Genomic DNA, 27,636 nt, shown 5'->3' with positions numbered 1-27,636 from the left:
TTTTTAGTAGAGACGGGGTTTCACCGTGTTAGCCAGGATGGTCTCGATCTCCTGACCTCGTGATCCGCCCGCCTTGGCCTCCCAAAGTGCTGGGATTACAGGCGTGAGCCACCGCGCCCGGCCTTGTATTTTTTTAAGAGTCTGGGTTTTGCCCTGTTGCCCAGGCTGTCTCAAACTCCTATGCTTAAGTGATCCACCCACGTTGGCCTCCCAAAGTGTTGGTATTACAGGCGTGAGCCACCTCGCCCAGCCTTCCTGTTCTTTTTTAAGATTTAGTAAACTGGCCAAGCGCCGTGGCTGATGCTTGTAATCCCAGCACTTTGGGAGGCCGATGGGGGAGGATTGCTTGAGCTCAGGGGTTCAAGACTAGCCTGGGTAACAAAGTGAGGCACTATCTCTACAAGAAAAAAAAAAATAGCTGGGCGTGGTGATGCGCGCTTTTTTTTTTTTTTTTTTTTTTTTTTGAGACAGAGTCTCGCTCTGTCACCCAGGCTGCAGTGCAATGGCCCGATCTCGGCTCACTGCAACCTCCGCCTCCCGGGTTCAAGCGATTCTCCTACCTCAGCCTCCTGAGTAGCTGGGATTACAGGCGCCCGCCACCATGCCCGGCTAATTTTTGTATTTTTAGTAGAGACGGGATTTCACCATGTTGATCAGGCTAATCTCGAACTCCTGACCTCGTGATCCGCCCGCCTCGGCTTCCCAAAGTGTTGGGATTATAGGCGAGAGCCACCGCGCCCGGCCCTAGTAAACTTGTATTTCTCACACATTATGTAAGCCACCTTAGGATACAGTTCTCAAGTAAGTCCCCCTTTTCGGCACCCGATTCTCCAACCCTCCATTGCTCAAACCTTTCCTCCATGGCTGTGTCCCCACCCCGAGTCGTGCATAACTTTTGTTGATGACAAAAGGTGGCAGACTTTTGTCCTGGGGATAGGTAGGTGAAGTGTTTTAAGAAATGGTTATTTTCAGGCTATGCAGAAGAATGAGACTTCACCATCAAGCCTCACTACAGTCAGGCTTGCAGAGCAGCGACACTGTATTGACAATGACAATCCTTTCTTTTAAACTCCAAACCTAACTAAGCCACACGTCTCCATGCAAAGGGTAAAAGATTGAAGACGGAGTGGGAAAGGACAGGAGGCGGGGCATAGCGGGCCTGGAAGGCTTCCAGCTTGTCCCTGTGGACCCTCCTCGCCCCTATGAACTTCCGCCCCCAGTACCTCCGAGGCTCTGACAGGCGGATGCCTGCCAACTACGTGAGCACGTGGTGGCGCGCGCGGTCCTGGGGGCGGAGCCCAGGGGGTAGCTGGGAAGCGACGCAGGACGTCGGTCCGTGCGTACGTGCTCGCTCACGGCGGCGGCGGCGGAGCGGAGAGGCCAGAGCCGGAGACCGAGCTGGGATCGGGCCCCGGGCGGGGGCGGTGCGAGCGGCGCCAAGCAGATCTTAGGGGCGGGGACGGAGCCGGGGCGGGCGGGACTGAAGCGGAGCCCGGGAACGGGGCGGGAGGTCCCAGGGTCCCGGGTTGGGGGGGTGGAGCAGCATTTCGTCGCCGCGGGGGTGCCGGGACTCCGGCCGCAGTGTCGCCGCCATCACGGACTTCCTGTGGGACAAGCGCACGGGCCTCGCCGCCAGAACGGTGAGCGCGCGGGTTGGCTGGCCGCGCGAAAAGATGGCGACCGCGGGGCGGGCGGGGTTAGGCTTGGGTTGGGGGCAAGGGACGGGGGCGAGATTTGGAGAGGAGGAGAGTTGAGACCTACGAAGCGACGGAGTAGGGAGATGAGGGGGAAGGAGGTCGGCCTGCGTTAGATGTACCAAGAAGACCTGTAGGAAGCTTGGGCGGAACCAGACTAGAAGGGATGATAGAGTAAGGATGGGAGTGGTTCCAGAGATGTGAAGGAGTGGAATATCAAAGTTGGACTCGGGTCCAATCAAAGCTGGAGGGGAGGAATACATCACCGTGTCACTTGGAACATGCAGGAAGAATTTGCCTGTAGGAGTTCTGGATTTTCTGAGTAAGAAAGGAAAAAGCAAAAGATTTCAAACTTGAGAAAGGTAGGCTAGTGATGTTTTGAGGGGACAGTGCTGTGAGGCCGTTTGATGGTAGTATGTGGTGAGATGGCATTTATGTGGCTATGCTGATTAGGATAACTATGCTGGGAAAATCTTGTGCTTGCAGCTTGGTATGCTACCGGCCCCAGTTACACCAAGAATGCATCAAATACCACCCTCCTCAATTTGGGGAGGTTGGGAAGAAGTGATACAGAATGGTGGTCAGACATCGGAATCATTAAACCTTTTGCATACGCGATTCTCATACACCCCCACCAAGACTTATGTCCCTGGGCCTGTTTCATTTTATTGTGCCTTCCTATTCTCATCTTCCTGGATTGTGACAGTGATTTTTCTCTTTTTTCCTTGAAGGAAAAAAAGGATTTGTGAACCATCCCATTCCAATTCCATTAACTGGAAGGTGGCCAGCTGTCAGCTAAGTAGGGCTGATATTAATTAAAAACCACTTACTGGCCAGGCGCGGTGGCTCACATCTGTAATCCCAGCACTTTGGGAGGCCAAGGCGGGCGGATCACCTGAGGTTGGGAGTTCGAGACCAGCCTGACCAACATGGAGAAACCCTGTCTCTACTAAAAATACAAAATTAGCTGGGCGTGGCGGCGCATGCCTGTAATCCCAGCTACTCGGGAGGCTGAGGCAGGAGAATCGCTTGAACCCTGCAGGCGGAGGTTATGGTGAGCCGAGATTGCGCCATTGCACTCCAGCCTGGGCAACAAGAGCAAAACTCCGTTTCAAAAAAAAAAAAAAAAACACAAGAAACAGTTGTTATCTACGTCTTAAGCACAAGAGTGGAGGGGCCAGATGGGATGCTGACTGTATTTTGTGGCCTACTACATTAAAACCTCTCAAGGGAGAGTTGGCCAAAGATGTGAGAGATGATTAAGTTAATTCAAGGGGCCCGACCCAGATCCCTGGAGCTGATAGTATTTGGCGTTTACCTGGTATATGTAGAAACCTGGGAGACTGGATTCCTACCCTCAGGACACTGATAGTCTACTTGAGGAGATGAGATGTACTCTTAATGAGTGTACAACATTTATCATAACTGTAAACCAAAGCTTTACTCTATTGACTTGTGAGGAACTCAGCATCACACAGATCTATATCTTAGATCCTGAACGGGGATACACTGTGGCAGTCTCCATCGGTCGTCATACACTTTGCTCTGTAGTGAACTGTGTCCTAGACCTGAAGGTCTTCATGGAGCTGTGTTTGAAGAAAATAAGGATAGAACACTTGAACTGGCTGGGTGCGGTGGCTCACGCCTGTAATCCCAGCACTTTGGGAGGCCGAGGCAGGAGGATCACGAGGTCAGGAGTTTGAGACCATCCTGGCCAACATGGTGAAACCCCGTCTCTACTAAAAATATAAAAATTAGCCAGGAGTGGTGGTGCGTGCCTGTAATCCCAGCTACACAGGAGGCTGAGGCAGGAGAGTTGCTTGAACCTGGGAAGTGGAGGTTGCAGTGAGCCGAGATTGTGCCACTGCACTCCAGCCTGGCCACACAGCGAGACTCTGTCTCAAGAATAAAATAAGAACACTTGAACTGAGGGGTGGGTAATGAGGGATGGGTTTGGGGGCTTTCTAGAGTTTCAGCCAGAGTTAGTAGGTGGCTGTACTCCAATAAGGAGGAATTGTAAGTACAGAGGAAGACTGAGGAAGTTGTGCCTGGTAAAAAGAGGCAGAAATAAGAGGGGAAAGCAGCTTAGCATCTTTGGAGCAGCCAGTCCTTGGAGGAGATTTCTGAAAACTCGAAACTTTCCTATTTCCGCTTTCCCTTGCCTTCCAGATGCCGCATCCTCGAAGGTACCACTCCTCAGAGCGAGGCAGCCGGGGGAGTTACCGTGAACACTATCGGAGCCGAAAGCATAAGCGACGAAGAAGTCGCTCCTGGTCAAGTAGTAGTGACCGGACACGACGGCGTCGGCGAGAGGACAGCTACCATGTCCGTTCTCGAAGGTGAGGCCTCAGGAAGAGATACTCAAACACAGGGTCACTCGCTCATTCCTTTGTTCAACAAATACTTATTGGTTATATGCTAAAACCATTGCCTTAAGTAGCTGGCTGAAGGTAATGTCGGGATAGATAACCAAAGAAGCCATTTGGGCTGCAGTGTTAAGTGTTAGAATACATAATGAGGAACTGAGGACGTACCCAGTGCGTTTGGTTGGAGTGGGGCAGGATGTTAATTCAGATAAAACATTGCAGAGAAAGCAACATCTGTATATGTCTGGAGGACAAGTAGAGTCAGGTGGGGGAAGTGTCTTTGGGCAGAGGGAAAGCATGTGCAAAGGACTGGGAGCTACAGGTAACTAATAAGCTAACAGATAAGACAAAGTTAGATCTTTGTGTTTTTAATTTTTTAAAAATTTTAAAATATCATTTATTTATTTTTGAGACAGAGTTTCACTCTGTTGCCCAGGCTGGAGTGCAGTGGCAAGATCTCAGCTCACTGCAAACTCTATGGCCCCAGGTTCAAGCGATTCTTGTGCCTCAGCCTCCCAAGTACCTGGGACTACAGGCATGCGCCATCATGCCTGGCTAATTTTTTTTTTTTTTTTTTGTATTTTTAGTAGAGACAGGATTTCACCATGTTGGCCTCAAACTCCTGACCTCAAGTGCTCCACCTGCCTTGGCCTCCCAAAGTGCTGGGATTACAGGCGTGAGCCACTGTGCCCGGCCCAGTTTTAATATTTTAGTGGTATGTTCAGTGGAAAGAATGGGTTAAGGATGGTTTAGAGCAAGGGGGGATTTCATTCAGGAAAGCTTGAGAAAAAAATGGCTCTTTGTTTCTTTGTATCACTGCAGCGGGAAAAAGGCCCCAATAGGGAGTGGTTCTGCAGATGCCTTTTCAGAGGTTTTGGTGACATGGCAGATGTGCTTGTTACCTCACTTCTCTGGTCCCTTGGTCCTCTCAGTGACTCAACAAGTGTCTGAGAACAGTTTTCTAGCATTACTCTTTGTCCTCACTAAGGCAGGACCTTGTCACAGGGTATGGTAGGGAATGTGATCTGAACAGATACACCTCATTGGTATTTGTTATCCAACAGCAGTTATGATGATCGTTCGTCCGACCGGAGGGTGTATGACCGGCGATACTGTGGCAGCTACAGACGCAACGATTATAGCCGGGATCGGGGAGATGCCTACTATGACACAGACTATCGGCATTCCTATGAATATCAGCGGGAGAACAGCAGTTACCGCAGCCAGCGCAGCAGCCGGAGGAAGCACAGACGGCGGAGGAGGCGCAGCCGGACATTTAGCCGCTCATCTTCGGTGAGTGCCAGCCCAGGCCCTTCCTCTCCCCACTCTTCTGCAGGCCCTCTAGGACTCTGGTAAGTGAGCAGTATCCTTGTTCTCAGCTGAACATTGGGGCATGAACACTGAGGTGGGCACTGAGTTTGCCTACTTTCTTGGAAGCTCTCCGACTCTTGAAGGGCCCTGGATCTGCTTTGGAGATGGATGGGCACGGAGCATTTGTGACCCCCAGTGCTCTCCCTGGCATGTTGGGCTTATTGTGTTGGGAGCAGCTTCTCCGCCCCAGCGGCCTCCACTCTTTAATGGGGACCTTGCTTGTGAACTGCCTTTTTCCCCCAAGCCCTGGGCTCTGTAGCCCCCTTGGCAGGCGGGCTTGGGTGGGGGCAAGGGGAGATCTGTGTCTGCCCGGAAGGGCATTGTGTAGAGCATGGGGTTGTGGGTGACATTGGCAACAACACCACTTCTCTGCTCTGCCCATGCCTCTCCCTGTTCCTGTTTTGGGTTTGGGGACTTGGGATTATGCGCCGCTCTCTCTTCTCACACCGATCCACCTTACTGCATCTGACGTGTTCCCTTCCACTGTCCCCCATCATCGTCTGTCCCCCCTGGCTGGGCGCCTGTGACCGGTGACCCCTCTACCACCCACCCCGCCTCCCTCCGGCCCCCGCTCCGACACCTGGCTTGCTCCGACCCCCCCTGCCCCCCGACAGCAGCACAGCAGCCGGAGAGCCAAGAGTGTAGAGGACGACGCTGAGGGCCACCTCATCTACCACGTCGGGGACTGGCTACAAGAGCGATGTACAAGCCAAATCGTAACAATCCTATAGCCTGTAATGGTCCCATAGCCATCCTAACGTCCCAAGCCAACCTGAGTCACAGCCTCTTGCCTTTTCTCAGTGGTGTTGTTTATCTGGGTGGTTTGAGTTGCTGTTGAGAATTGACCTCTGTTGTCCACTCCCAGCTCTCACGGCCCCTGGGTTAAAGGTGGTGGGAATCACGCAGGGGTTTTCTTCCCCTGTGACCATCTGTATCTGTTCCCCTTCCTTCATCTCCACCCCAGGTTGCTGTCCCCTTTTTTCTTCCAACTCAGCTCATTCCCCACCTTCTCTCCCTCCCTCTCCCCGACCCTGCTCTCTTTCATTTCAGATGAAATCGTTAGCACCTTAGGAGAGGGGACCTTCGGCCGAGTTGTACAATGTGTTGACCATCGCAGGTAACTGTCAGTCCCTCCCTACTATGTGGGGCTAAAGAGATGGTTGGGGTTATATGGGGCTTTTTTGCTAATTAACCTGAGGTAGAATTTCTTAGTCCCCCTACAGCCCTGTTCATTTTGAGACATTCTTGAGAACCCAGCAAAAGCCTCTCCTGCCAACTTACAGGGGTGGGGCTCGAGTTGCCCTGAAGATCATTAAGAATGTGGAGAAGTACAAGGAAGCAGCTCGACTTGAGATCAACGTGCTAGAGAAAATCAATGAGAAAGACCCTGACAACAAGAAGTAAGCAAGCAAGGAAGTATGTAGGGAGGCTGAGAGCCCCAACCCCTACACGGGAGAGACTTCTAGACCTGGTTTAGGCAGACAGGGGAGTCCTAGACCTTCTCATCCATTCATCTTTTGTTCATCATCTTAGAGTAGTAGAACATCAGGGTAGGAAAGGGGGGGGGCCCATGACATTCCTTAATCCACTCCCCTTGTTTTCAGGGAAGTTAGATTGCTCTGTCGTTTGACCCCAGCCTAGAATGGCTTCTGTAGAGATATACCCTGGACATAGCCCTAGGACTGAGCATCAACCTCATCGAACAATGAATTAAGCTTTTATAAGTAGAACTATGCTGATAAGGCCACAGACATTTATGCAGTAATATTTTGTTCACATACATTCACAGTCCAAAAATAGAATAAGGACTTTAAGCCAAGATATGAGGCCAGTAGGTATAAATAGGAGCCCAGTGGTAGCTAGTGGTGAATGAATATCAGGAGTTGGGCTGGGGTTGGGATTTAGGATGGACAGTTTGATGATTCAGGATCTATACTGTTTGGAGCTTGGCACTCCACAGCTCTTCAGCAAATAGTTTTTGAACTATTTAAAATGACGCAGGAAGATATTTTGAAACTTGGGCTGGGCATGGTGGCTCACGCCTGTAATCCCAGCACTTTGGAGGCCGAGGCGGGTGGATCACAATGTCAGGAGTTCGAGACCAGCCTGGCCAATATGGTGAAACCCCGTCTGTACTAAAAATAAAAAAATTAGCCGGGCATGGTGGTGGACAACTGTAGTCCCAGCTACTTGGAAGGCTGAGGCAGGAGAATCGCTTGAACAGGAGGCAGAGGTTGCAGTGAGCCAAGATCGCGCCACTGCACTCCAGCCTGGGTGACAGAGTGAGACGCCATCTCAAAAACAAAAAAGAAAAAAACCTGGCAGATAGTACCATTCTTCTTGGGTCTGGTAGAGGCTACTCCTTAGCTGAACTGAATTTTGGTGTTAGTACTAGCTGGCATGGTTTTACACAAGTATGTGGAATCAACAGCTATGAAGTACCTCCTTGTTGGATGGCTGATGGGCAGATGGGAGCTCATCAGACAACCCCCCTTCCCCCATCTCTCTTCTCAGCCTCTGTGTCCAGATGTTTGACTGGTTTGACTACCATGGCCACATGTGTATCTCCTTTGAGCTTCTGGGCCTTAGCACCTTCGATTTCCTCAAAGACAACAACTACCTGCCCTACCCCATCCACCAAGTGCGCCACATGGCCTTCCAGCTGTGCCAGGCTGTCAAGTGTGAGTGGGGTGGGCCGAAGTGGACTCTGGGGCAGTCCCTCCCTTCATTGGATCTCTCTGTCGGTTGTGCACTGGTGAAGCCCCTAAACAGTCAGCTGTCTGTTATCTGCAGTTCTTTGATTTACTGTCATCTTGAAACGTCTTCTGACTTAACTCCTTGACTGATGTCTTTATCGTCACTGATTGCTCTTACTCTACACCTAGCCTAGCAGCAGCTAGAAGAGAAAGCCTTTGGAATCAAAGCACTTAATTACCCTCCCCTTTTCCTTTCTCCCTTTCTTGGGAAAGCATCAGTCAGACAGCAAACATAAAGAGACAAAAATACACTCCTTAGGGTAAAGGCTTACATTTGTCTGGGATGAGATGTTCATTCACAGCAAAGGAGATGGGAACACAGAGTATGTAGTTCAGCTAAGGGGCAAGGTGGGGAATTCAAAGAAATATATCATTCCTCTGGAGTCATCAAAATAATACAGTTTCACAGAATTGAGTTAACATAATGCCAGCTAGACACATGTCAAAGTGTGTACACACTACAACTCAAAGCAAACTTTTTTTTTTTTACATCAGTTGAGCTACATATGTATCTTACATTAGAAAGAGCAGAGCTTCTTAGACCAGGCATTCCATTTAGACGTAGAGCAGAAAGCAGCCCTAGTGATTCTGGACCTGTCTCCTCACTGGCTTTGCCCTAGGTAACCAGGCCTGGGGTCAGCTGATACCAGTTAGCTCTGGCCACCTGCACCAAGCCTGACCTGGCCTTCTCCCCTACAGTCCTCCATGATAACAAGCTGACACATACAGACCTCAAGCCTGAAAATATTCTGTTTGTGAATTCAGACTATGAGCTCACCTACAACCTAGAGAAGGTAAGATGGATAGGGTCTGCCCTTGGTTACTGGGGGCAGGCAGCTGCACCACTTTGCCTTCTGCCGAGCCCTTTGTTTTCTCCCTTTTATTTCGTCCTCCCACATTTTCTCCCTGTCTGGCTCCAACTGGGTAAAACTAAATAGGTTGAAAGGGAGAAATCTCTTAAGAAGACTTAAATTGGGAGATAACTTGTACAGGGGACTTCAGATAACTTTCCAGTAGAGTGAAAGTTTTTAAGGTTCTTGGTTTGGACTTTATTTATTTATTTATTTATTTATTTATTTATTTATTTGAGACAGAGTCTCACTCTGTTGCCCAGACTGATGTGCAGTGGCATAATCTCGGCTCACTGCAACCTCTACCTCCCAGGTTTAAGTGATTCTCCTGCCTCAGCCTCTGGAGTAGCTGGGATTACAGGCACCCGCCACCACGCCTGGCTAGTTTTTGTGTTTTTAGTAGAGATGGGGTTTTGCCATGTTGGCCAGGCTGGTCTCGAACCCCTAACCTCAGGTGATCTGCCTGTCTCGGGCTCCCAGAATGCTGGGATTACGGGTGTGAGCCACAGTGCCTGGCCCGGACTTCTTTTTTGAGATGTGTATTTCTGTGAGGTAGGAAAGCTCGGCTCCTTTGACTAACTGGAGATAATGGAGATCTCAGACCTAAAGAAGCTCTCCCTCCTTTGACCCCTTTGCTACATGTTACATATTTTTAGAGAAACTCCTTTGCTACATGTTACATTTTTTCAGAAAAACCCATTTGCTACATGTTACATTTTTTCAGAAAAACCCATTTGCTACATGTTACATGTTTTCAGAATAACTATATATCTGGCACTTGAGTGTAGTCTTCAGATGCTTACAGATGTGCACGCTGTTCTATAATCATTTCTTAATCCTTTTGCTCCCCTACTTCTAAAAGTATTATGCTGGATGTGGTGGAAGCTGTAAAACAGGAATTTCCCAGGGCTTGTAAGGCCAGGCAGGAGATCACAGTACCTTTTTTAAGGCTCAGAAGCAATGTAGAGAATACTGGTGGAATCTCAGTCTGGGTGCAGAGGTTCATCCTCTTTCTCCTCTGCTCCTAGAAGCGAGATGAGCGCAGTGTGAAGAGCACAGCTGTGCGGGTGGTAGACTTTGGCAGTGCCACCTTTGACCATGAGCACCATAGCACCATTGTCTCCACTCGCCATTACCGAGCACCAGAAGTCATCCTTGGTAAGGGAGGGCAAGGCTGTCCAAGTGTGTGAGATGATGTGAGGGTGGGGCCACCTAAGCCTCATAACACCTTTTCCCTCCCATTCTCACCCAGAGTTGGGCTGGTCACAGCCTTGTGATGTGTGGAGTATAGGCTGCATCATCTTTGAATACTATGTGGGATTCACCCTCTTCCAGGTAAGTGATGGGATGTCTTACTTGACTGCCTGGCATTCTTCTACCTGGTTCCTTTGTTTTCTGCTGAGGACCTGCCTACTCAGTTCTCCACATTGCCTGCCTTCCTGGCAGCTGATCCTTAGCATGCCCTTTTCAGTCCCATGCTCAGTTCTGTTTTTGTTTCCCAGACCCATGACAACAGAGAGCATCTAGCCATGATGGAAAGGATCTTGGGTCCTATCCCTTCCCGGATGATCCGAAAGACAAGGTGAACCTTGAGGGGGCACTAGTTAACTCTTTTCCTTTTCTCTCCACAGAATTGGTCTATTTCACATCATTTTCTTTTTTCTTTGATACCTCCTCTCCCCCCAGTTACTTTCAGATGGGGAAATAAGGGAATTGTAACAAGGGTGACCTTCTGATTCCTCAACCTCCCCTTCCCCTCTAGAAAGCAGAAATATTTTTACCGGGGTCGCCTGGATTGGGATGAGAACACATCAGCTGGGCGCTATGTTCGTGAGAACTGCAAACCGCTGCGGGTGAGCTGGGCTCGGGATAAATAGTGCCCACCGTCCAGAAGTCACTTCCTTCTTAGGGTGGTTTGCCCCCTGGAATGCTCTTCACAAGCAGAGGGTTAGGAAAGGAGGGGAGGAAAGCTGAAAGAAGACATCTTTGGTCAACAGAGGAAACATAAGAGGGAGTGGTTTTGTGGAGGGAAGGAGGTTAGACAGCCTAACCTTGAGACAACCAGAGATCAAAGCAATGTCCTGGATTCTTTAGGTCAGACAGAAAAGAATAAACTACCTTTGAAGAGCTTACATTTTAATGAGGAACTAAAGAAGATTCATGAAGTTGACAAGGATATACAAGTAGAAAGAACTTTCAAAGATTATGGAGTAATTGTGCTAGTGGGAAGGTAGGTTGAGCTATAATATCAGAAACGTTGGTCCTGGTGTGGTCGTGGTTAGGTAGCCTTCAAATTGGTTGCAAGCAGAGCCTTGGTTCTCCAAGAATGAAAGGTAGGGTCTTGAAGAAGGCAGGGTTTGTAAGGCATCCTGCCTCACCTTTTTCCTGCCCTCCTCCACCAGCGGTATCTGACCTCAGAGGCAGAGGAACACCACCAGCTCTTCGATCTGATTGAAAGCATGCTAGAGTATGAACCAGCTAAGCGGCTGACCTTGGGTGAAGCCCTTCAGCATCCTTTCTTCGCCCGCCTTCGGGCTGAGCCGCCCAACAAGTTGTGGGACTCCAGTCGGGATATCAGTCGGTGACGATCAGGCCCTGGGCCCCCCTGCATCTTTTATAGCAGTGGGTGTCCAGTCCAGGACACTGGTGCTTTTTTATACAAGAGAACGAGCCAGAGTTCACTCCTTCCTCCTGGCTCTCTATATACCTGTGAATATGTGAAATAGTGTAAATATGAAAGAACTTGTACCTATCACTTCAACCCCTGCCTTGTACATAATACTATTCCATCCACACAGTTTCCACCCTCACCTGCCCCCTCATACGGAGTTGGATGGGGGCCGAGTGAGGTAACCAGGTGGCATCTACCCCATGTTTTATAAGGAATTTTGTACAGTCTTTGTGAAATAAAATAACGTGCTTCATTTGACCCCCATCCCTGGAGTTGGAGGTTTGGGAATGCTGGGGTGGAGGGATGAAACTATTGGCAAACTTTCTGAGTTTGGGTATGAAGGGAGTCCTCCTTACCCTCCAAAATGAAGCACAGCCAGGCTACCAGTTTATTTCCCCTGTCCACCTTATCATATGGGAGGGTAGTGATGGGTGGGGCAGCATTTCTTTCAGATTAAAACAGAGAAGTGTTATGAGGTGGCACTTCTCGGATGTGGAATTATGAGAGTTGGGAAAGATCTGACTCCTAGAGTCATTAGGCCGCGGCCCAGTATAGAGCCAGAAACTCAGGTTGAAAACGTGCTCAACCTGGCTCCTAGGGGGGATTGCCACGACCGGTCAGAAGGCTCCCGTCGTCCATCTCGGGAGACTAGGAAGGCCGGATTCCTACGCGAGGCCTGCTGGGAAGTGTAGTTCGTTAGTGGAAGGAAGTCACATGGAAGAGGGGCGGTAGTTGGTTGTGGGCACTGGGTTAGAGGTATCACGTGGGGGCACTTTCGTCTTAGCTTTTGGACAAGACGCAGGCGCAACCCACGGCTGCTGCGGGGATCCTTGTGGCCCTTCCGGTCGGTGGAACCAATCCGTGCACAGAGAAGCGGGGCGAACTGAGGCGAGTGAAGTGGACTCTGAGGGCTACCGCTACCGCCACTGCTGCGGCAGGGGCGTGGAGGGCAGAGGGCCGCGGAGGCCGCAGTTGCAAACATGGCTCAGAGCAGAGACGGCGGAAACCCGTTCGCCGAGCCCAGCGAGCTTGACAACCCCTTTCAGGTGACTTGCGCCAGTCGGCCTCTTTTGGGCGGTCAGGTTGATTCTTCCCGGTTCTGTAGGGTCGGGCTAACTTGTATCCCCATTTGTGACATTTGATCCTGGGAAGAGCCGCCACGTGGGGTGACAGTGACTCCAGACCAGTGAGCACTCTGGGGGGCGGGCCCTGCCCCTTAATGGGCTGGTGCTGGCAGTGTTGGATGATGGATTTGAGGTAAATGTTGTCCCAGTCCTGGGACAACGGCGTGGCCCCGAAGGTGCAGTACTTGGAGCCACAGGCAGTTTGGGAATGGTCCCTGGGAATTCCCCTAGGTGGCACTGGGTGCCAGCTGAGACCCGGGTCTCTGCCCTCAGGACCCAGCTGTGATCCAGCACCGACCCAGCCGGCAGTATGCCACGCTTGACGTCTACAACCCTTTTGAGACCCGGGAGGTGAGCTACTGGAGAGCATAGGAGTTCAAGGAAGGGAAGGGTTTGCCAGTGAGACAAGTTAGCTTGGGTACAGGGGACTTTTCTGCATGCACAGGAAGGAAGAGGCACTGTGATCTTAGTTCCCTGAGAGAGGCTAGTCAGCCATGGGATGCCTCATCCTTCTAGGGCCACCAGGGCCACCAACCCAAATGGTTTGAGCTCTAAAAGTCAGTCCTGGGAAGATCTGGAGGCTGGCAAGGCCTTAACCAATGTTCTGTATGGGAAGGCTTTCTTGAAGAAAATAAAGGTTGGGGCTGGTTGGAGTTTAGGTTAGGTGTGCAGTTTGAAAGCAAGGAATGAGGAGGACTACACCTGTTTGTCCCACTGGATTAGAAGATGGTGAGTTGTAAGAATTTAAGGGGTTTTCATGGTACTTAAAACTTAAAAAAAAAAGCCAAGCATGGTGTGCATGCCTGTAATCCCACTTGGGAGGCTGAGGTGGGAGGATTGCTTGAGCCCAGGAATTTGATGGAGACCATCCTGGGCAACAGCGAGACCCCCATCTCTTGAAACGTTTTAAAAATTGGCTAGGTGTAGTGGCACATGCCTGTAGTCCTTGCTACTTGGGAGGCTGGGATGGAAAGACTGCTTGGGCCCAGGAGTTTGAGGCTTCGATGAGTGATGATTGCACCACTGCACTCCAGCCTGGGTGGCAGAGAGACAACCCCACACTCCATCCCCAGAAGAAAAGAAAAAAAAAAAACACAGTTAAGTGGGGAGATATGGTAAATGAGTGATTTGAGTCCTCACTAAGGAATTGGATATGAGGGATGATAAGGCTGCTACAGGTCATCATAGAGTTCTCTGACAGAAATTCAACAGAAGAACTAGCTTCCTAACAAATGGGGGAAAGGCTGCTTCCTTACATCATGAGTTCTGGGTCTAAAGGTATTCAAGCAGACTCTAGATTCCTGTGTTATGAGGGACTAGATGATCACTAAGGTCTTTTCCTCAACAGCCACCACCAGCCTATGAGCCTCCAGCCCCTGCCCCATTGCCTCCACCCTCAGCTCCCTCCTTGCAGCCCTCGAGAAAGCTCAGCCCCACAGAACCTAAGAACTATGGCTCATACAGCACTCAGGTACAGGAGGTGTGCAGGTGAGGGCTGGGGAGAAGGGCCAGTCCTGGGGCCCAGGGCTCACATCTCCGTCTGCTCACACTGGGCAGGCCTCAGCTGCAGCAGCCACAGCTGAGCTGCTGAAGAAACAGGAGGAGCTCAACCGGAAGGCAGAGGAGTTGGACCGAAGGGAGCGAGAGCTGCAGCATGCTGCCCTGGGGGGCACAGCTAGTAAGTAATAGAGTGGGGAAGAGCATCTGAGAGTTTGGGAGGAGCAAAAACAGGTCTTAAGGGCCTGGGCTCGGCTGGGTGCGGTGGCTCACACCTATAATCCCAGCACTTTGGGAGGCTGAGGTGGGCGGATCACGAGGTCAAGAGATCGAGACCATCCTAGCCAACATGGTGAAACCCTGTATCTACTAAAAATACACACACACAAAAATTAGCTGGGCATGGTGGCGCGCACCTGTAGTCCCAGCTACTCGGGAGGCTGAGGCAGGAGAATCGCTTGAACCCGGGAGGTGGAGGTTGCAGTGAGCCGAGATAGCGCCACTGCACTCCAGCCTGGTGACAGAGTGAGACTCCATCTCAAAAAAAAAAAAAAACACAAACCTGGGCTCTGGAGTCAGACTGCTGAGTTTGAATTTTAGAGATACTGCTTACTAACCATGAGCTTTTAGGGAAGTTACTTAATCTTGAATGCCTCAGTTTCCCTATTTATAAAATGAAAACCACGTTTGCATCCGTTTGACAGGGTTGTTGTGAAGGTTAAACAAAATATATGTGAAGTACTTGGTACAGTGCTTAGATGTTTTAAATAATAATAAACAGTATTAATTTTTCCACTCTCACTTGTCTCCTTGGACCCCAAATTGGAGATAAAAGAGAGGATCCAGGGCTGGGTATGGTGCCTCACGCCTGTAATTCCAACACTTTGGGAGGCCGAGGCAGGCAGGTTGCTTGAGCTCAGGAGTTAGAGACCAACCTGGACAACATAGTGAGATCCTGCCTCCAAAACATTAATGAAAAAAATTAGCAGGGCATGATGGTACCTGTCTGTAGTCCTAGCTCCTCAAGAAGCTGAGGTGGACGGCCAGGCGCCGGGGCTCATGCCTGTAATCCCAGCACTCTGGGAGGCCAAGGCGGGTGGATCACCTGAGGTCAGGAGTTCAGGACCAGCCAACATGGTGAAACCCTGTCTCTACTAAAAATACAAAAATTAGCTGGGCGTGGTGGCATGTGCCCATAATCCCAGCTACTCAGGAGACTGAGGCAGGAGAATTACTTGAACCCGGGAGGCGGAGATTGCACTGAGCCAAGATCACACCACTGCACTCCAACCTGGGCAACAAGAGCGAAACTCTATCTCAGGAGAAAAAAAAAAAAAAAAAAAAGCTGAGGTGGGAGGGTTGCTTGAGCCCAGGAGGTTGAGGCTACAGTGAACCATGATCATACCACTACCTTCCAGCCTGAACAACAGAGACCCTATCTCAAAAAAAAAAAAAAAAAAAAAAGAGAGGATCCAGGGATGGAGAGAAGGGGGAGTGATTCCTTTGTTGGTCTCTGTTTTACTTCTGGGGTCCACCTGTTTTTTTGTGCCTTACAGCTCGACAGAACAATTGGCCCCCTCTACCTTCTTTTTGTCCAGTTCAGCCCTGCTTTTTCCAGGACATCTCCATGGAGATCCCCCAAGAATTTCAGAAGACTGTATCCACCATGTACTACCTCTGGATGTGTGAGTAGTGAGAAGCCTTTTGGAGGAAGTTACAGGTAGATCTCTTAACTGCCCTGGGGTCCGCTCACCAAGAACCAAACACTTCACCTCTATTTAGAACTCACCAGCCTGCTAGCAAATGTTCTTGCCCTCTCCCCACTTTTTATTGTCCATATGCAGGAATATATTTTGAATTCTTTAGATGTCTTTGGGCTGGGTGCAGTGGTATACGCCTGTAATCCCAGCACTTTGGGAAGCTGAGGTGGGTGGATAACCTGAGGTCAGAAGTTTGAGACTAGCCTGATCAACATGGAGAAACCCCATCTCTACTAAAAATACAAAATTACCTGGGCGTGGTGGCACATGCCTGTAATCCTAGCTACTCAGGAGGCTGAAGCAGGAGAATCACTTGAACCCGGGAAGTGGAGGTTGCAATGAGCCAAGATCATGCCATTGCACTCCAGCCTGGGCAACAAGAGCAAAACTCCATCTCAAAAAAAAAAAAAAAAAAAAAAAAAAAAAAAAAAAGGCCGGGCACGGTGGCTCACACCTGTAATCCCAGCACTTTGGGAGGCCCAGGTGGGCAGAACATGAGGTTAGGAGATCAAGACCATCCTGGCTAACACGGTGAAACCCCGTCTCTACTACAAATACAAAAAATTAGCCGGGCGTGGTGGCGGGTGCCTGTAGTCCCAGCTACTTAGGAGGCTGAGGTAGGAGAATGGGCGTGAACCCAGGAGGCAGAGCTTGCAGTGAGCCGAGATCCTGCCACTGCACTCCAGCCTGGGCGACAGAGCGAGATTCCATCTCAAAAAAAAAAAAAGAAAAAAAAAAATTAGCTGGGCGTGGTGGCGGGCGCCTGTAGTCCCAGCTACTCTGGAGGCTGAGGCAGGAGAATGGCGTGAACCGGGGAGGCGGAGCTTGCAGTAAGCTGAGATTGCGCCACTGCACTCCAGCCTGCGCGACAGAGCCAGACTCCGTCTCAAAAAAAAAAATGTCTTTGCAAGGGGATCACACATTATTGACATTTGCTTTCTCCATCTCCCCTGTTGAGGATTCCATGAAGGCAGCAGCTGCCTTCATTTCCTTACTCTGCCATGTTTGGTGAATATTATAGGATGAGCATAGATGGGAAGGAGCCTTCATTGCAGTCCAGAAGGGCTCCTCATCCTGTCCCTCTGCCCCTTAGGCAGCACGCTGGCTCTTCTCCTGAACTTCCTCGCCTGCCTGGCCAGCTTCTGTGTGGAAACCAACAATGGCGCAGGCTTTGGGCTTTCTATCCTCTGGGTCCTCCTTTTCACTCCCTGCTCCTTTGTCTGCTGGTACCGCCCCATGTATAAGGCTTTCCGGTAAGTGTGTTAGTGGTGGGAGAGTGATGGAGACCTGGGATGGGCCCCACGTCTGCCCATCCTTCAGCTCTAATTCTTCTCCCACCCTCCCCATTTTTTTCCTCTTTGTAGGAGTGACAGTTCATTCAATTTCTTCGTTTTCTTCTTCATTTTCTTCGTCCAGGATGTGCTCTTTGTCCTCCAGGCCATTGGTATCCCAGGTTGGGGATTCAGGTTTGTGAGGCTGTTATCCACCCTCACCTTTCCCTCTAGATCCAGCCAGCACTGGGTGCTGGGATAGGAGTTGTTCAGAAAAAGGAAATGTGGTTTTAATCCTTGGGAGGTACTAGTTTAATGAGATACAAGACATACTTCCAGGATAGAGCGCAGACAGCACTCTTGACACATATAGATTGAAGGGAAGAATGCTGCATTTGGCCAATCTAAGGTGGCTTCCTGGAGGAGGCATAGAACCATGGTTGAAAGGAGGAAGAAGAATCCCCAGATGAGTGCCTGGAAGAGCTTGGAGAGCTCAGGGCTAATGGTTCAGAAACTGGAATTAAACTATGAAGAGATTAGATACAGTTTGGGATTGTGGTGCTTGGAATGCTGCTCGATTGACAGGGAGCCACTGCTGATGGGAAGGGTAGGAACAGGGGATGCTGGTGACATAACCAGTGGAGAAGCTGAGGAGCCCCTCTTCACTGGTACATCCTTCCCTTTACAGTGGCTGGATCTCTGCTCTGGTGGTGCCGAAGGGCAACACAGCAGTATCCGTGCTCATGCTGCTGGTCGCCCTGCTCTTCACTGGCATTGCTGTGCTAGGAATTGTCATGCTGAAACGGGTGAGGGCTGTGTCGAAGGTGGGGCCGGGATGGTGAGATCATGGGTCCCCAGGGGCGTGGGTGGAACATTCAGGAGCAACTGGCACAGGTCAGGCTGCTGGGTTGTTCTCAGCTAATGGACCTCTGGGGTGTGTGTTTCTGTGTGTGAGTGTGTGTGCTGGGCAGCAGGCTGCTGAGTGGTAGTGATGCTGTTAGGCTGGGGTGGGGAACCAGTGGCTGGAATGGGCGGTAATGTCTTTGTCCTCTACTTGCAGATCCACTCCTTATACCGCCGCACAGGTGCCAGCTTTCAGAAGGCCCAGCAAGAATTTGCTGCTGGTGTCTTCTCCAACCCTGCGGTGCGAACCGCAGCTGCCAATGCAGCCGCTGGGGCTGCTGAAAATGCCTTCCGGGCCCCGTGACCCCTGACTGGGATGCCCTGGCCCTGCTACTTGAGGGAGCTGACTTAGCTCCCGTCCCTAAGGTCTCTGGGACTTGGAGAGACATCACTAACTGATGGCTCCTCCGTAGTGCTCCCAATCCTATGGCCATGACTGCTGAACCTGACAGGCGTGTGGGGAGTTCACTGTGACCTAGTCCCCCCATCAGGCCACACTGCTGCCACCTCTCACACGCCCCAACCCAGCTTCCCTCTGCTGTGCCACGGCTGTTGCTTCGGTTATTTAAATAAAAAGAAAGTGGAACTGGAACTGACATCCCCGTTTCCTGAATCTTCATTGGGAATTAGGCCTTATGAAAGAGAAAGGAGAGTGTGGAGTGAGGTGGGAAGGTCGGACCCGGCTTTAGTGTAAACTGGGAGATATGAGGGGCGGGGCGGTGGAGCCCGAGTGGCTGGCGCAGGAAGGAGGTGGGAAGTCCACGGAAACGCGAAACCCGGAGACGCCAGGGAGCCCTGCTCCCCACCCCTCTCCATTAATGACGGGGAAGAGCCACCGCCTCTGCCGGGAACGCCAAGGAATACGCGGGCCTGGAGCCTGAAAAGCTGGATGGGGCTCAAGTGGAGGCCCAAAGGATCACTAGCAGCCTAGCCAGGGTCCAGAGCGAGGCAGGGACTGGAGGAGCGCTTATCCGACTGCCTCGCCCTGCCGCGGGATCCCCCAACCCCGACAGGGTCTCAGTCCCGAACTACAACTCCCGGGGTGCACCGCGCCGGCCCTCGCCGCCATGCCCCTCCTTCCCGCACCATCCCCATTCCCATCCCCCTTCTCTAGTCCCCGACCTGCGGCAGCCGGAGCTCGGGGAGCGGAGCGTGGTGGGGAGGGGAGCGGGACAGGCGACACAGGAGACAGCGGCGCCGCGGCCTCTCCCCACCAGGCGGCCCCGGATCCTACTGGACGCCCTGAGGGCACACCGACCGCGCCTCTAGAGTCACCCCACGCCGACCCCTCCCCTCTTCTCTAGACTTATTTCCATCCTTCCCGCTTTTACCCTCCCCACCCCTCCCTGGGCTCCAGGCCGCCGCCCCCTCCTCACTCCTGGACCGGCCCTTCTCGGTGCCCCTCTTCCCTAGGGAGATGCGATGAGCCGGTGCCCCCGCGTCCTCATCGTCGCCCCGGGCACGGTGCCCGTCCAGTGCCCGTGGTGGGGAGGGAGCACTCCGCGGTCCCTCCGTGACGCCCCTCGCTTGGCCCCCCCCACAGCTGGCGTCCCTCGGCCATGCCCCAGGGGACCCAGCCAGGGGGTGGGCTCTAGAGCGAGTGGGGTGGAGAGGAGAAAGGACGGGGCCTTGGGCGCCTCTGAGATGCTCCCAAGTGCCAGGGAGGGCCGAGCGAGGCGCAGGCAACCGGGCAGCAGGCATGATGCCCTCGCCTAGTGACTCCAGCCGCTCGCTGACCAGCCGGCCCAGCACCAGGGGCCTTACCCACCTCCGCCTCCACCGACCCTGGCTGCAGGCCCTGCTTACGCTGGGGCTGGTCCAAGTGCTCCTGGGCATCCTGGTGGTCACCTTCAGCATGGTGGCCTCTTCCGTCACCACCACCGAGAGCATCAAGAGGTCCTGCCCGTCTTGGGCTGGGTTCTCGGTGAGTTGGGTGCACAGTTGTTGGGTGGGGGAGGCTCCTCGGGCCCCACCCTCCACACCAGCTGCAAGTCCACATGCTTGCCTCTCCTCCCTCTCCTGGTCCTCTGCCTCCTTACAGGGCTGGGTGCATCCTGTGGTGAGGGGCTCACTCAGGAGCCTCCCCTGCCAGGCTGAGCCTGTGCCCACTCTGTCCCCAGCTGGCGTTCTCCGGGGTGGTTGGCATTGTGTCCTGGAAGCGGCCATTCACTCTAGTGGTAGGTGCCAGGGTCCAGTGCCCACTGGGAGGCAGGTGCCCAGCACGCAAGGGGAAGCCCATTTATGTCCTCAAGAAGGGAACTGGCTCCCCAGTTGGTGCCAGCCGGGTGGGCACGAAGTGTCTGTGAAGGAGGGGGACTCTGTCCGTGGCAGAGGAGTACTCATGAGGGTCCCAGCCCTGAGTCTGCACCCTGTTTTCCCCAGATCTCCTTCTTCTCCTTGCTTTCGGTGCTCTGTGTCATGCTTAGCATGGCTGGCTCTGTTCTCTCCTGTAAGAATGCTCAACTGGCCCGAGACTTCCAACAGTGCTCTCTGGTGAGATTTGAGGAGGGAGAGCTGGAAAGAACTGGCTGGGGGAGGTGTGCAGGACACCTCAGTTTGTCCTGACTCAGGCTGCCTCACCCTCCCTGCTCCACTCAGGAAGGAAAGGTCTGTGTGTGCTGTCCCTCTGTTCCCCTCCTCCGGCCCTGTCCAGAGTCGGGGCAGGAACTGAAAGTTGCCCCTAACTCCACCTGTGATGAAGCCCGAGGGGCCCTCAAGGTGAGCTTGCACCCTGCAAACATCCTCCTGGTTCTCACTCTTGCCTCCCCTGCTGGGGTACTCACAGGCCCATAATGTGTGGAACTTAGCCGTCTCCTGACTCCTCTCCTCCTTTCCCTTCCCCAGAACCTGCTCTTCAGCGTCTGTGGGCTCACCATTTGTGCCGCTATAATCTGTACACTCTCTGCTATTGTCTGCTGCATCCAAATCTTCTCCCTGGACCTCGTGCATACGGTGAGAAGGGAGCAGGGGCCAGGGCACGCAGGTATGGTGGGGGCAGGGGTGTGTGTGCTGAGACTTGCCTGAGGGAACAATGGCTACAGATCTGGCTTTTGAGCACCAGGGGCTATGGGTTATCTATTATCCTCATCTATTGGAGGAATGGATGTTTAGTGGGGAGGATGAGAAGGGGAGATGGCAGGGAGTGAGTTAAGTATGTGATGCTGGTCTGGGACCAGGAGAGGGTGCTTTAGAGAATGGGACTGGATGGTGGGGTAGAGTCAAGAAGGTCCTATGCTGGGCACGGTGGCTCATTCCTGTAATCCCAGCACTTTGAGAGGCCCAGGCAGGCGGATCACCTGAGGCCAGGAGTTCAAGACCCACCTGGCCAACATGGCGAAACCCTGTCTCTATTAAAAATACAAAAATCGGGCCGGGCGCAGTGGCTCGTGCCTATAATCCCAGCACTTTGGGAGGCTGAGGAGGGCAGATCACCTGAGATCAGGAGATCGAGACTATCCTGGCTAACATGGTGAAACCCCATCTCTACTAAACATACAAAAAATTAGCCAGGCGTGGTGGCGGGCGCCTGTGGTCCCAGCTACTCGGGAGGCTGAGGCAGGAGAATGGCATGAACCTGGGAGGCAGAGCTTGCAGTGAGCTGAGATAGTGCCACTGCACTCCAGCCTGGGCGACAGAGCAAGACTCCATCTCAAAAAACAAACAAACGAAATACAAAAATTAGCCAAGTGTGGTGGCGGGTGCCTGTAATCCCAGCTACTTGGGAGTCTGAGGCAGGAAAATTGCTTGAACCGGGGAGACAGAGGCTGCAGTGAGCTGAGATGGTGCCACTGCATTCCAGCCTGGGCGACAAGAGCAAGACTCCGTCTCAAAAAAAAAAAAAAAAAAAAAAAAAATATATATATATATATATATATATATATATATACACACAAAATTACAAAAATTAGGCTGGGCTCCGTGGCTCATGCCTGTAATCCCAGCACTTTGGGAGGCCAAGGCAGGAGGATCACCAGATATCAGGAGTTTGACACCAGCCTGGCCAACATGGCGAAACCCTATCTCTACTAAAAATACAAAAATTATCCGGGTGTGGTGGCGGGTGCCTGTAATCCCAGCTACTCGGAAGACTGAGGCTGGAGAATCGCTTGAACCTGGGAGGCAGAGGTTGCAGTGAGCTGAGATGTAGCCATTGTACTCCAGCCTGGGCGACAAGAGTGAAACTTCGTCTCGAAATAATAATAATAATAATAATTAGCTGGGCATGGTTGCACACCCTTATAATTCCAGCTACTCAGGAGGATGAGGCATGGGAATTGCTTGATCTTGGGAGGTGGGGGTTGCAGTGAGCTGAGATCGCGCCACTGCACTCCAGCAACAGAGTCAGACTCTGTCTCAAAAAAAAAAAGAAGGTCCTAGATGGAGGTGAGGCTAAAGGGTGGACATTCCTGTGAAGACACAGAATGTGTGGAGCTTCTGGATGGAGGTGGGGCCATAAAGAGGAATTTGTGGGTGGGCAGGGCCAGAGCTAGAGGTACAGGGTGAGCGTGGGGTTAAGGAGAGCTGATTTTGGGTGAGGGAGGGGCCAGAACAAGAGCTTCTCTCAGGGGATAGGGCCAGAAAAAATAATGTAGATGAGAGAGGAGTTTGGGGGCCCAGGAGGAGCTGTATTCCCAGAATCCAGACTTGCTGACCTGCTCGCTTCCCCAGCAGCTGGCCCCTGAGCGGTCAGTCTCAGGCCCACTGGGACCTCTGGGCTGCACGTCCCCGCCCCCAGCCCCTCTCCTACACACCATGCTGGACCTGGAGGAATTTGTCCCGCCTGTGCCCCCACCGCCCTACTATCCCCCAGAGTATACCTGCAGCTCAGAAACAGATGCACAGAGGTAAGGCCTGGTGGGGTCTTGCTGGGGGAGCTAAGGAAGGGGACTGGGGCTGGGCCTGGATTGCTGGAGAGAGGGATCTTTGTGGAGGGGGAATTATTTCTCCTACATTGACCCTCTTCCTCATCTGCCAGCATCACGTACAATGGCTCCATGGACAGCCCAGTGCCCTTGTACCCTACCGATTGCCCCCCTTCTTATGAGGCAGTCATGGGACTACGAGGAGACAGCCAGGTGAGAGCACAGCACGGCTTGGGGCGGGCTGGGGAGCCGGGTTGTAGCCTGGAAAGCTGAACAGGCTGTAGCCTCTGGATAAAGATAGTAACAGTGGTCAAGGTCTTTACAGCACCAGCATGCCCACTGTTGCCTTTGATCTTCCCTAGAGCCTGGTGAGGTGAGTGGGTTGGAAGCTATCATTTCTGCCATACAGACGTGGAAGCTGAGGCTGCACAATTAAGTGACTTGTACAAAGGGACAAGGCTGGTCTGGAATCTAAGTCTCCAGAGCTCTGTCTAGCACATGGGGGTGTTCAGTGTGTAGGGCTGAACCCTTGACCCTGTGTCTTCTGCAGGCCACTCTCTTTGACCCTCAGCTTCACGATGGCTCGTGCATCTGTGAACGAGTGGCCTCCATTGTAGACGGTGAGCAGGGCGTAATGAGGGGTGGACAAGGGCGGGGCTGCCAGGGATAGCTGGGGTGGGTAGAGACAATAGAAGGGGAAAACAAGGCGGAGTTGGTGGTTTGGGGACATAGGAGGGCTGTGGCAACTTGGAACCCTGGACTTATTTTTCTCCTCTGAGATAAAGCTGGAGGCACAGTGGCCCCTAGAGGCTGGGCTTGGGAGAAGAGGAACTGCCTGGGCAGGGCTAGGCCAGGCCAGGCTGGTGCTACACAGCGCCCCCTGCCGCCCACAGTGTCCATGGACAGCGGGTCTCTGGTGCTGTCAGCCATTGGTGACCTCCCTGGGGGCTCTAGCCCGTCGGAGGACTCGTGCCTGCTGGAGCTGCAGGGCTCCGTGCGCTCCGTGGACTACGTTCTCTTTCGCTCCATCCAGCGCAGCCGTGCCGGCTACTGCCTCAGCCTGGACTGTGGCCTGCGGGGCCCCTTCGAGGAAAGCCCCCTGCCACGGCGCCCCCCACGGGCTGCCCGCTCCTATTCCTGCTCTGCCCCTGAAGCTCCACCCCCACTGGGTGCCCCCACAGCTGCCCGCAGCTGCCACCGGTTGGAGGGCTGGCCGCCCTGGGTGGGACCCTGCTTCCCCGAGCTGAGGCGGCGGGTCCCCCGGGGAGGGGGCCGCCCAGCCGCAGCCCCGCCCACCCGAGCCCCGACTCGTCGCTTCAGCGATAGCTCAGGTTCCCTCACCCCACCGGGGCACCGGCCTCCTCATCCGGCATCCCCACCACCGCTGCTGCTGCCACGGTCCCACAGCGACCCAGGCATCACGACCTCCAGTGACACTGGTGAGCCCCCTCCCCGACTGCCCAGGCTCAGGAGAGGGTAGGCACTGGGAGTTAGGTGGCCAGTGATGCCCACCAGGATTGGGGCACAGTTGAGGTCCCTGAGGAGGAAGAAAGGGTGAGTTCACTCCTCTGGTAGACACTTCTCAGGTACTCACCTCCTAGGGACAGAACATCCATAGCTTAGCAGCTAAAAAAGGAGAATTTTTTTTTTTTTTTGAGACGGAGTCTCTGGCTCTGTCGCCCAGGCTGGAGTGCAGTGGCATGATCTTGGCTCACTGCAACCCGTTTCCCGGGTTCAAGTGACTCTCTCCTGCTTCAGCCTGCCGAGTAGCTGGGACTACAGGTGTGCGCCACCATGACCGGCTAATATTTTTTTTTTTTTTTTTTTTTGAGACGGTGTCTCGCTCTGTCACCCAGGCTGGAGTGCAGCCGCGCGATCTGGGCTCACTGCAAGCTCCGCCTCCCGGGTTCACGCCATTCTCCTTCCTCAGCCTCCCGAGTAGTGAGTAGCTGGGACTACAGATGCCTGCCACCACGCCCGGCTATTTTTTTGTATTTTTAGTAGAGATGGGGTTTCACCGTGTTATCCAGGATGGTCTCAATCTCCTGACCTCGTGATCTGCCCGCCTCGGCCTCCCAAAGTGCTGGGATTACAGGCATGAGTCACCGTGCCCGGGCAATTTTTGTATTTTTTAGTAGAGACAGGGTTTCACCCTTTTGGCCAGGCTGGTCTTGAACTCCTGACCTCAAGTGATCCACCCGCCTCGGCCTCCCAAAAGGATTTATTTTTTGAAACCAGTTCCACAGCTCTCAGCTTGGTCCACTTATCTGTCCTCCCCAAGCTTCAGCTGTCACTTGTTAAACATGTATAATAATAGTACTTCAGGCCGGGCACGGTGGCTTGCACCTGTAATCCCAGCACTGTGGGAAGCTGAGGTGGGTGGATCACCTGAGGTCGGGAGTTCGAGACCAGCCTGGCTAACATGGTGAAACCCTATCTCTACTAAAAATACAAAAATTAGCCAGGTGTGGTGGAGCGCGCCTGTAATTCCAGCTACTAACAGAGAGGCTAAGGCAGGAGAATCGCTTGAACCTGGAAAGCAGGGGTTGCCGTGAGCCAAGATCATGCCACTGCACTCCAGCCTGGGTGACAGAGACACACTCCATCTCAAAAACACAAACAAACAAACAAAAAACATGTATAATAACAGTACTTCAGCCATAGGCATTGTACTCGAAGATGCTGAGAAAGGAGACAGTGGCCGGGCAAGGCTGTTCACACCTATAATCCCAGCACTTTGGGAGGCCAAGGCAGGTGGATCACCTGAGGTCAGGAGTTCAAGACCAGCCTAGCCAACATGGTGAAACCCCCATCTCTACTAAAAATTGAAAAATTAGCTGGGCCTGGTGGTGGACGCCTGTAATCCCAGCTACTAGGGAGGCTGAGGCAGGAGAATCGCTTGAACCTGGGAGGCGGAGGTTGCAGTGAGCTGAGATCGTACCACTGCACTCCGGCCTGGGCAACACAGTGAGACTCCATCTCAAAAAAATAAGAAAGGAGATAGTACTGGGGAACGCTCAGCACTGTGCGCCAGGTGCTGAACAACACCACTGCAGTCCTTGTTGTGGTGGATTGTACCATCTAGTTGCTGGCTAATATGGACAGAGATGCTGGCCCTTTGATTGGGGATGGAGCGTGGGAGCTGTGAAAGCTCCTCTGGGCTTGAGTTCCCACAGGAGGGTGGGCGTGTCCACAGAACACTTCCACTCACTCCCTGTCTCCCTTTCTCTCTTCTCCCCAGCTGACTTCAGGGACCTTTATACCAAAGTGCTTGAGGAAGAAGCTGCTTCTGTTTCCTCTGCAGATACAGGTCAGGCATGTGGTTTGCGCCCCAGGGATGGGGATTGGGCATGGCTGCCCAGCCCCCTCTCCACCCTACAATACCATTCTCTTATCTCTGTCTCTCTGCAGGGCTCTGCTCTGAAGCCTGCCTCTTCCGCCTAGCCCGCTGCCCTTCCCCCAAGTTGCTACGTGCCCGGTCAGCCGAGAAACGGCGCCCTGTGCCCACCTTCCAAAAAGTTCCCCTGCCCTCGGGCCCTGCACCTGCCCACTCCCTGGGGGACCTAAAGGGCAGCTGGCCAGGTCGGGGCCTGGTCACTCGTTTCCTCCAGATATCCAGGAAAGCCCCAGACCCCAGTGGGACTGGAGCTCATGGACATAAGCAGGTAGGAATTCGGGGAGCCAGGAAAGATGTTTGGGAAAGCGTGGAGCTTCAGATTGAGCCTTATTGATGATGCCCTTTCTTGTGTCCCTGTCCAGGTGCCCCGGAGCCTGTGGGGCCGGCCTGGCCGAGAGAGCCTCCACCTTCGCAGCTGCGGAGATCTGAGCTCTAGCTCTTCCCTGCGGCGTCTCCTGTCTGGCCGCAGGCTGGAGCGTGGTACCCGCCCCCACAGCCTCAGCCTCAACGGGGGCAGCCGGGAGACTGGGCTCTGACCTAGGCTTCTTGTCACACTGAACACATCCAGCCACAGGCACCAGCTGGTTGGGACCAGCAGCCCCCAGCATCCTCTTGCACTGGCTGGCACAAAAAGAAACCTGCTGTATACCCCCCAAAGTGTCCCTTTCCCTCCTACCTCTGGGGTCTCTTGCTGCTTGCCTCTGCTGCTCTGGACTGGGAGAGCTTCTGTCCTGTGCTGCATGGGTATTTAGACTGTGGGGGAGATGCCCCTTCTTATAGCACTGGAGGAGGAAAACAAATTCTTGTCCCCCTCAGAATGAGAGTGGCTCTTTCTGATTTGCAAGGGCACTATGGTCAGGGCAAAGGCATGGCCCAGGTGTTTAAGTACAGGGTGACGTGTGCCTATGCAATGGGGTGGTAAGGCAGGCACGAAGAGTCCAAAAAATCTAGGTGGCCTCTCAGCTCTGCCACCTCTAGCTGCATGACCTTGGGCAAGCTATGTAACCCCAATTGCCTGCTCCATTAAAGACTGTGAAGGTAGAATGTTTGTAAAGCTCTTAACAGTATGTAAGCCTTCAATAAATTTCAGTTTTCCCCTTGTTTTCTTGATCA

At 52.8% G+C, this 27,636-nt stretch overlaps 3 protein-coding genes across 29 annotated transcripts, besides 2 other annotated features; all 3 read left to right on the top strand.

Annotated features, from left to right (window-relative positions):
• Nucleotides 244–744: an enhancer, noted in NCBI's record as "H3K27ac hESC enhancer chr1:155243888-155244388 (GRCh37/hg19 assembly coordinates)". NCBI's record gives its function as "activates a minimal SCP1, AML or CMV promoter by ChIP-STARR-seq in primed H9 embryonic stem cells {active_cell/tissue: H9 hESC(primed)}" and the evidence as "EXISTENCE:reporter gene assay evidence [ECO:0000049][PMID:30033119]".
• CLK2 (CDC like kinase 2) lies at nt 1,337–11,973 on the top strand. 9 transcript variants are annotated; one of them, NM_001363704.2, is made up of 13 exons: nt 1,337–1,640; nt 3,864–4,033; nt 5,128–5,353; nt 6,049–6,133; nt 6,482–6,548; nt 6,715–6,831; nt 7,946–8,112; nt 8,887–8,981; nt 10,067–10,196; nt 10,291–10,373; nt 10,541–10,620; nt 10,801–10,891; nt 11,441–11,973. In NM_001363704.2, the coding sequence occupies exons 2-13, from the start codon at nt 3,864–3,866 to the stop codon at nt 11,621–11,623; spliced, it is 1,494 nt and encodes a 497-aa protein (NP_001350633.1). In that variant the 5' UTR covers nt 1,337–1,640; the 3' UTR covers nt 11,624–11,973. The 9 variants fall into 9 exon arrangements, with proteins under 9 accessions (NP_001350633.1, XP_011507445.1, NP_003984.2 ...); XM_011509143.2 differs by having other exon boundaries at nt 6,046–6,133; NM_003993.4 differs by having other exon boundaries at nt 5,125–5,353.
• A 507-nt stretch (nt 11,974–12,480) lies between these two features.
• SCAMP3 (secretory carrier membrane protein 3) lies at nt 12,481–18,860 on the top strand. Of its 15 annotated transcripts, none has more exons than NM_001438473.1 (9): nt 12,481–12,755; nt 13,107–13,184; nt 14,182–14,304; nt 14,391–14,511; nt 15,949–16,015; nt 17,184–17,343; nt 17,455–17,556; nt 18,050–18,167; nt 18,422–18,860. In NM_001438473.1, exons 4-9 carry the CDS (start codon nt 14,488–14,490, stop codon nt 18,566–18,568), a joined length of 618 nt encoding a protein of 205 aa, NP_001425402.1. In that variant the 5' UTR covers nt 12,481–12,755; nt 13,107–13,184; nt 14,182–14,304; nt 14,391–14,487; the 3' UTR covers nt 18,569–18,860. The 15 variants fall into 15 exon arrangements, with proteins under 15 accessions (NP_001425402.1, NP_001425393.1, NP_001425401.1 ...); NM_001438464.1 differs by having other exon boundaries at nt 15,929–16,015; NM_001438472.1 differs by having other exon boundaries at nt 15,887–16,015; nt 17,507–17,556.
• Nucleotides 18,861–19,357: 497 nt separating this feature from the next.
• ENTREP3 (endosomal transmembrane epsin interactor 3) lies at nt 19,358–27,636 on the top strand. Of its 5 annotated transcripts, none has more exons than NM_006589.3 (12): nt 19,358–20,188; nt 20,385–20,441; nt 20,647–20,757; nt 20,863–20,982; nt 21,109–21,216; nt 22,936–23,108; nt 23,240–23,339; nt 23,677–23,746; nt 24,020–24,565; nt 26,368–26,436; nt 26,538–26,791; nt 26,886–27,636. In NM_006589.3, the coding sequence occupies exons 1-12, from the start codon at nt 19,964–19,966 to the stop codon at nt 27,057–27,059; spliced, it is 2,007 nt and encodes a 668-aa protein (NP_006580.2). In that variant the 5' UTR covers nt 19,358–19,963; the 3' UTR covers nt 27,060–27,636. The 5 variants fall into 5 exon arrangements, with proteins under 5 accessions (NP_006580.2, XP_005244902.1, NP_001254537.1 ...); XM_005244845.3 differs by having other exon boundaries at nt 22,933–23,108; NM_001267608.2 differs by lacking the exon at nt 20,385–20,441 and having other exon boundaries at nt 22,933–23,108.
• Nucleotides 24,324–24,926: an enhancer, noted in NCBI's record as "H3K27ac-H3K4me1 hESC enhancer chr1:155219706-155220308 (GRCh37/hg19 assembly coordinates)". NCBI's record gives its function as "activates a minimal SCP1, AML or CMV promoter by ChIP-STARR-seq in naive and primed H9 embryonic stem cells {active_cell/tissue: H9 hESC(naive and primed)}" and the evidence as "EXISTENCE:reporter gene assay evidence [ECO:0000049][PMID:30033119]".

The sequence above is a fragment of the Homo sapiens genome, chromosome 1 (assembly GCF_000001405.40).
Source record: "Homo sapiens chromosome 1, GRCh38.p14 Primary Assembly".
In the NCBI taxonomy this organism is placed as follows: Eukaryota; Metazoa; Chordata; class Mammalia; order Primates; family Hominidae; genus Homo; species Homo sapiens.
The sequence above is the reverse complement of the archived record's forward strand: the minus strand, read 5'-3'. Positions and strand labels throughout refer to the sequence as shown.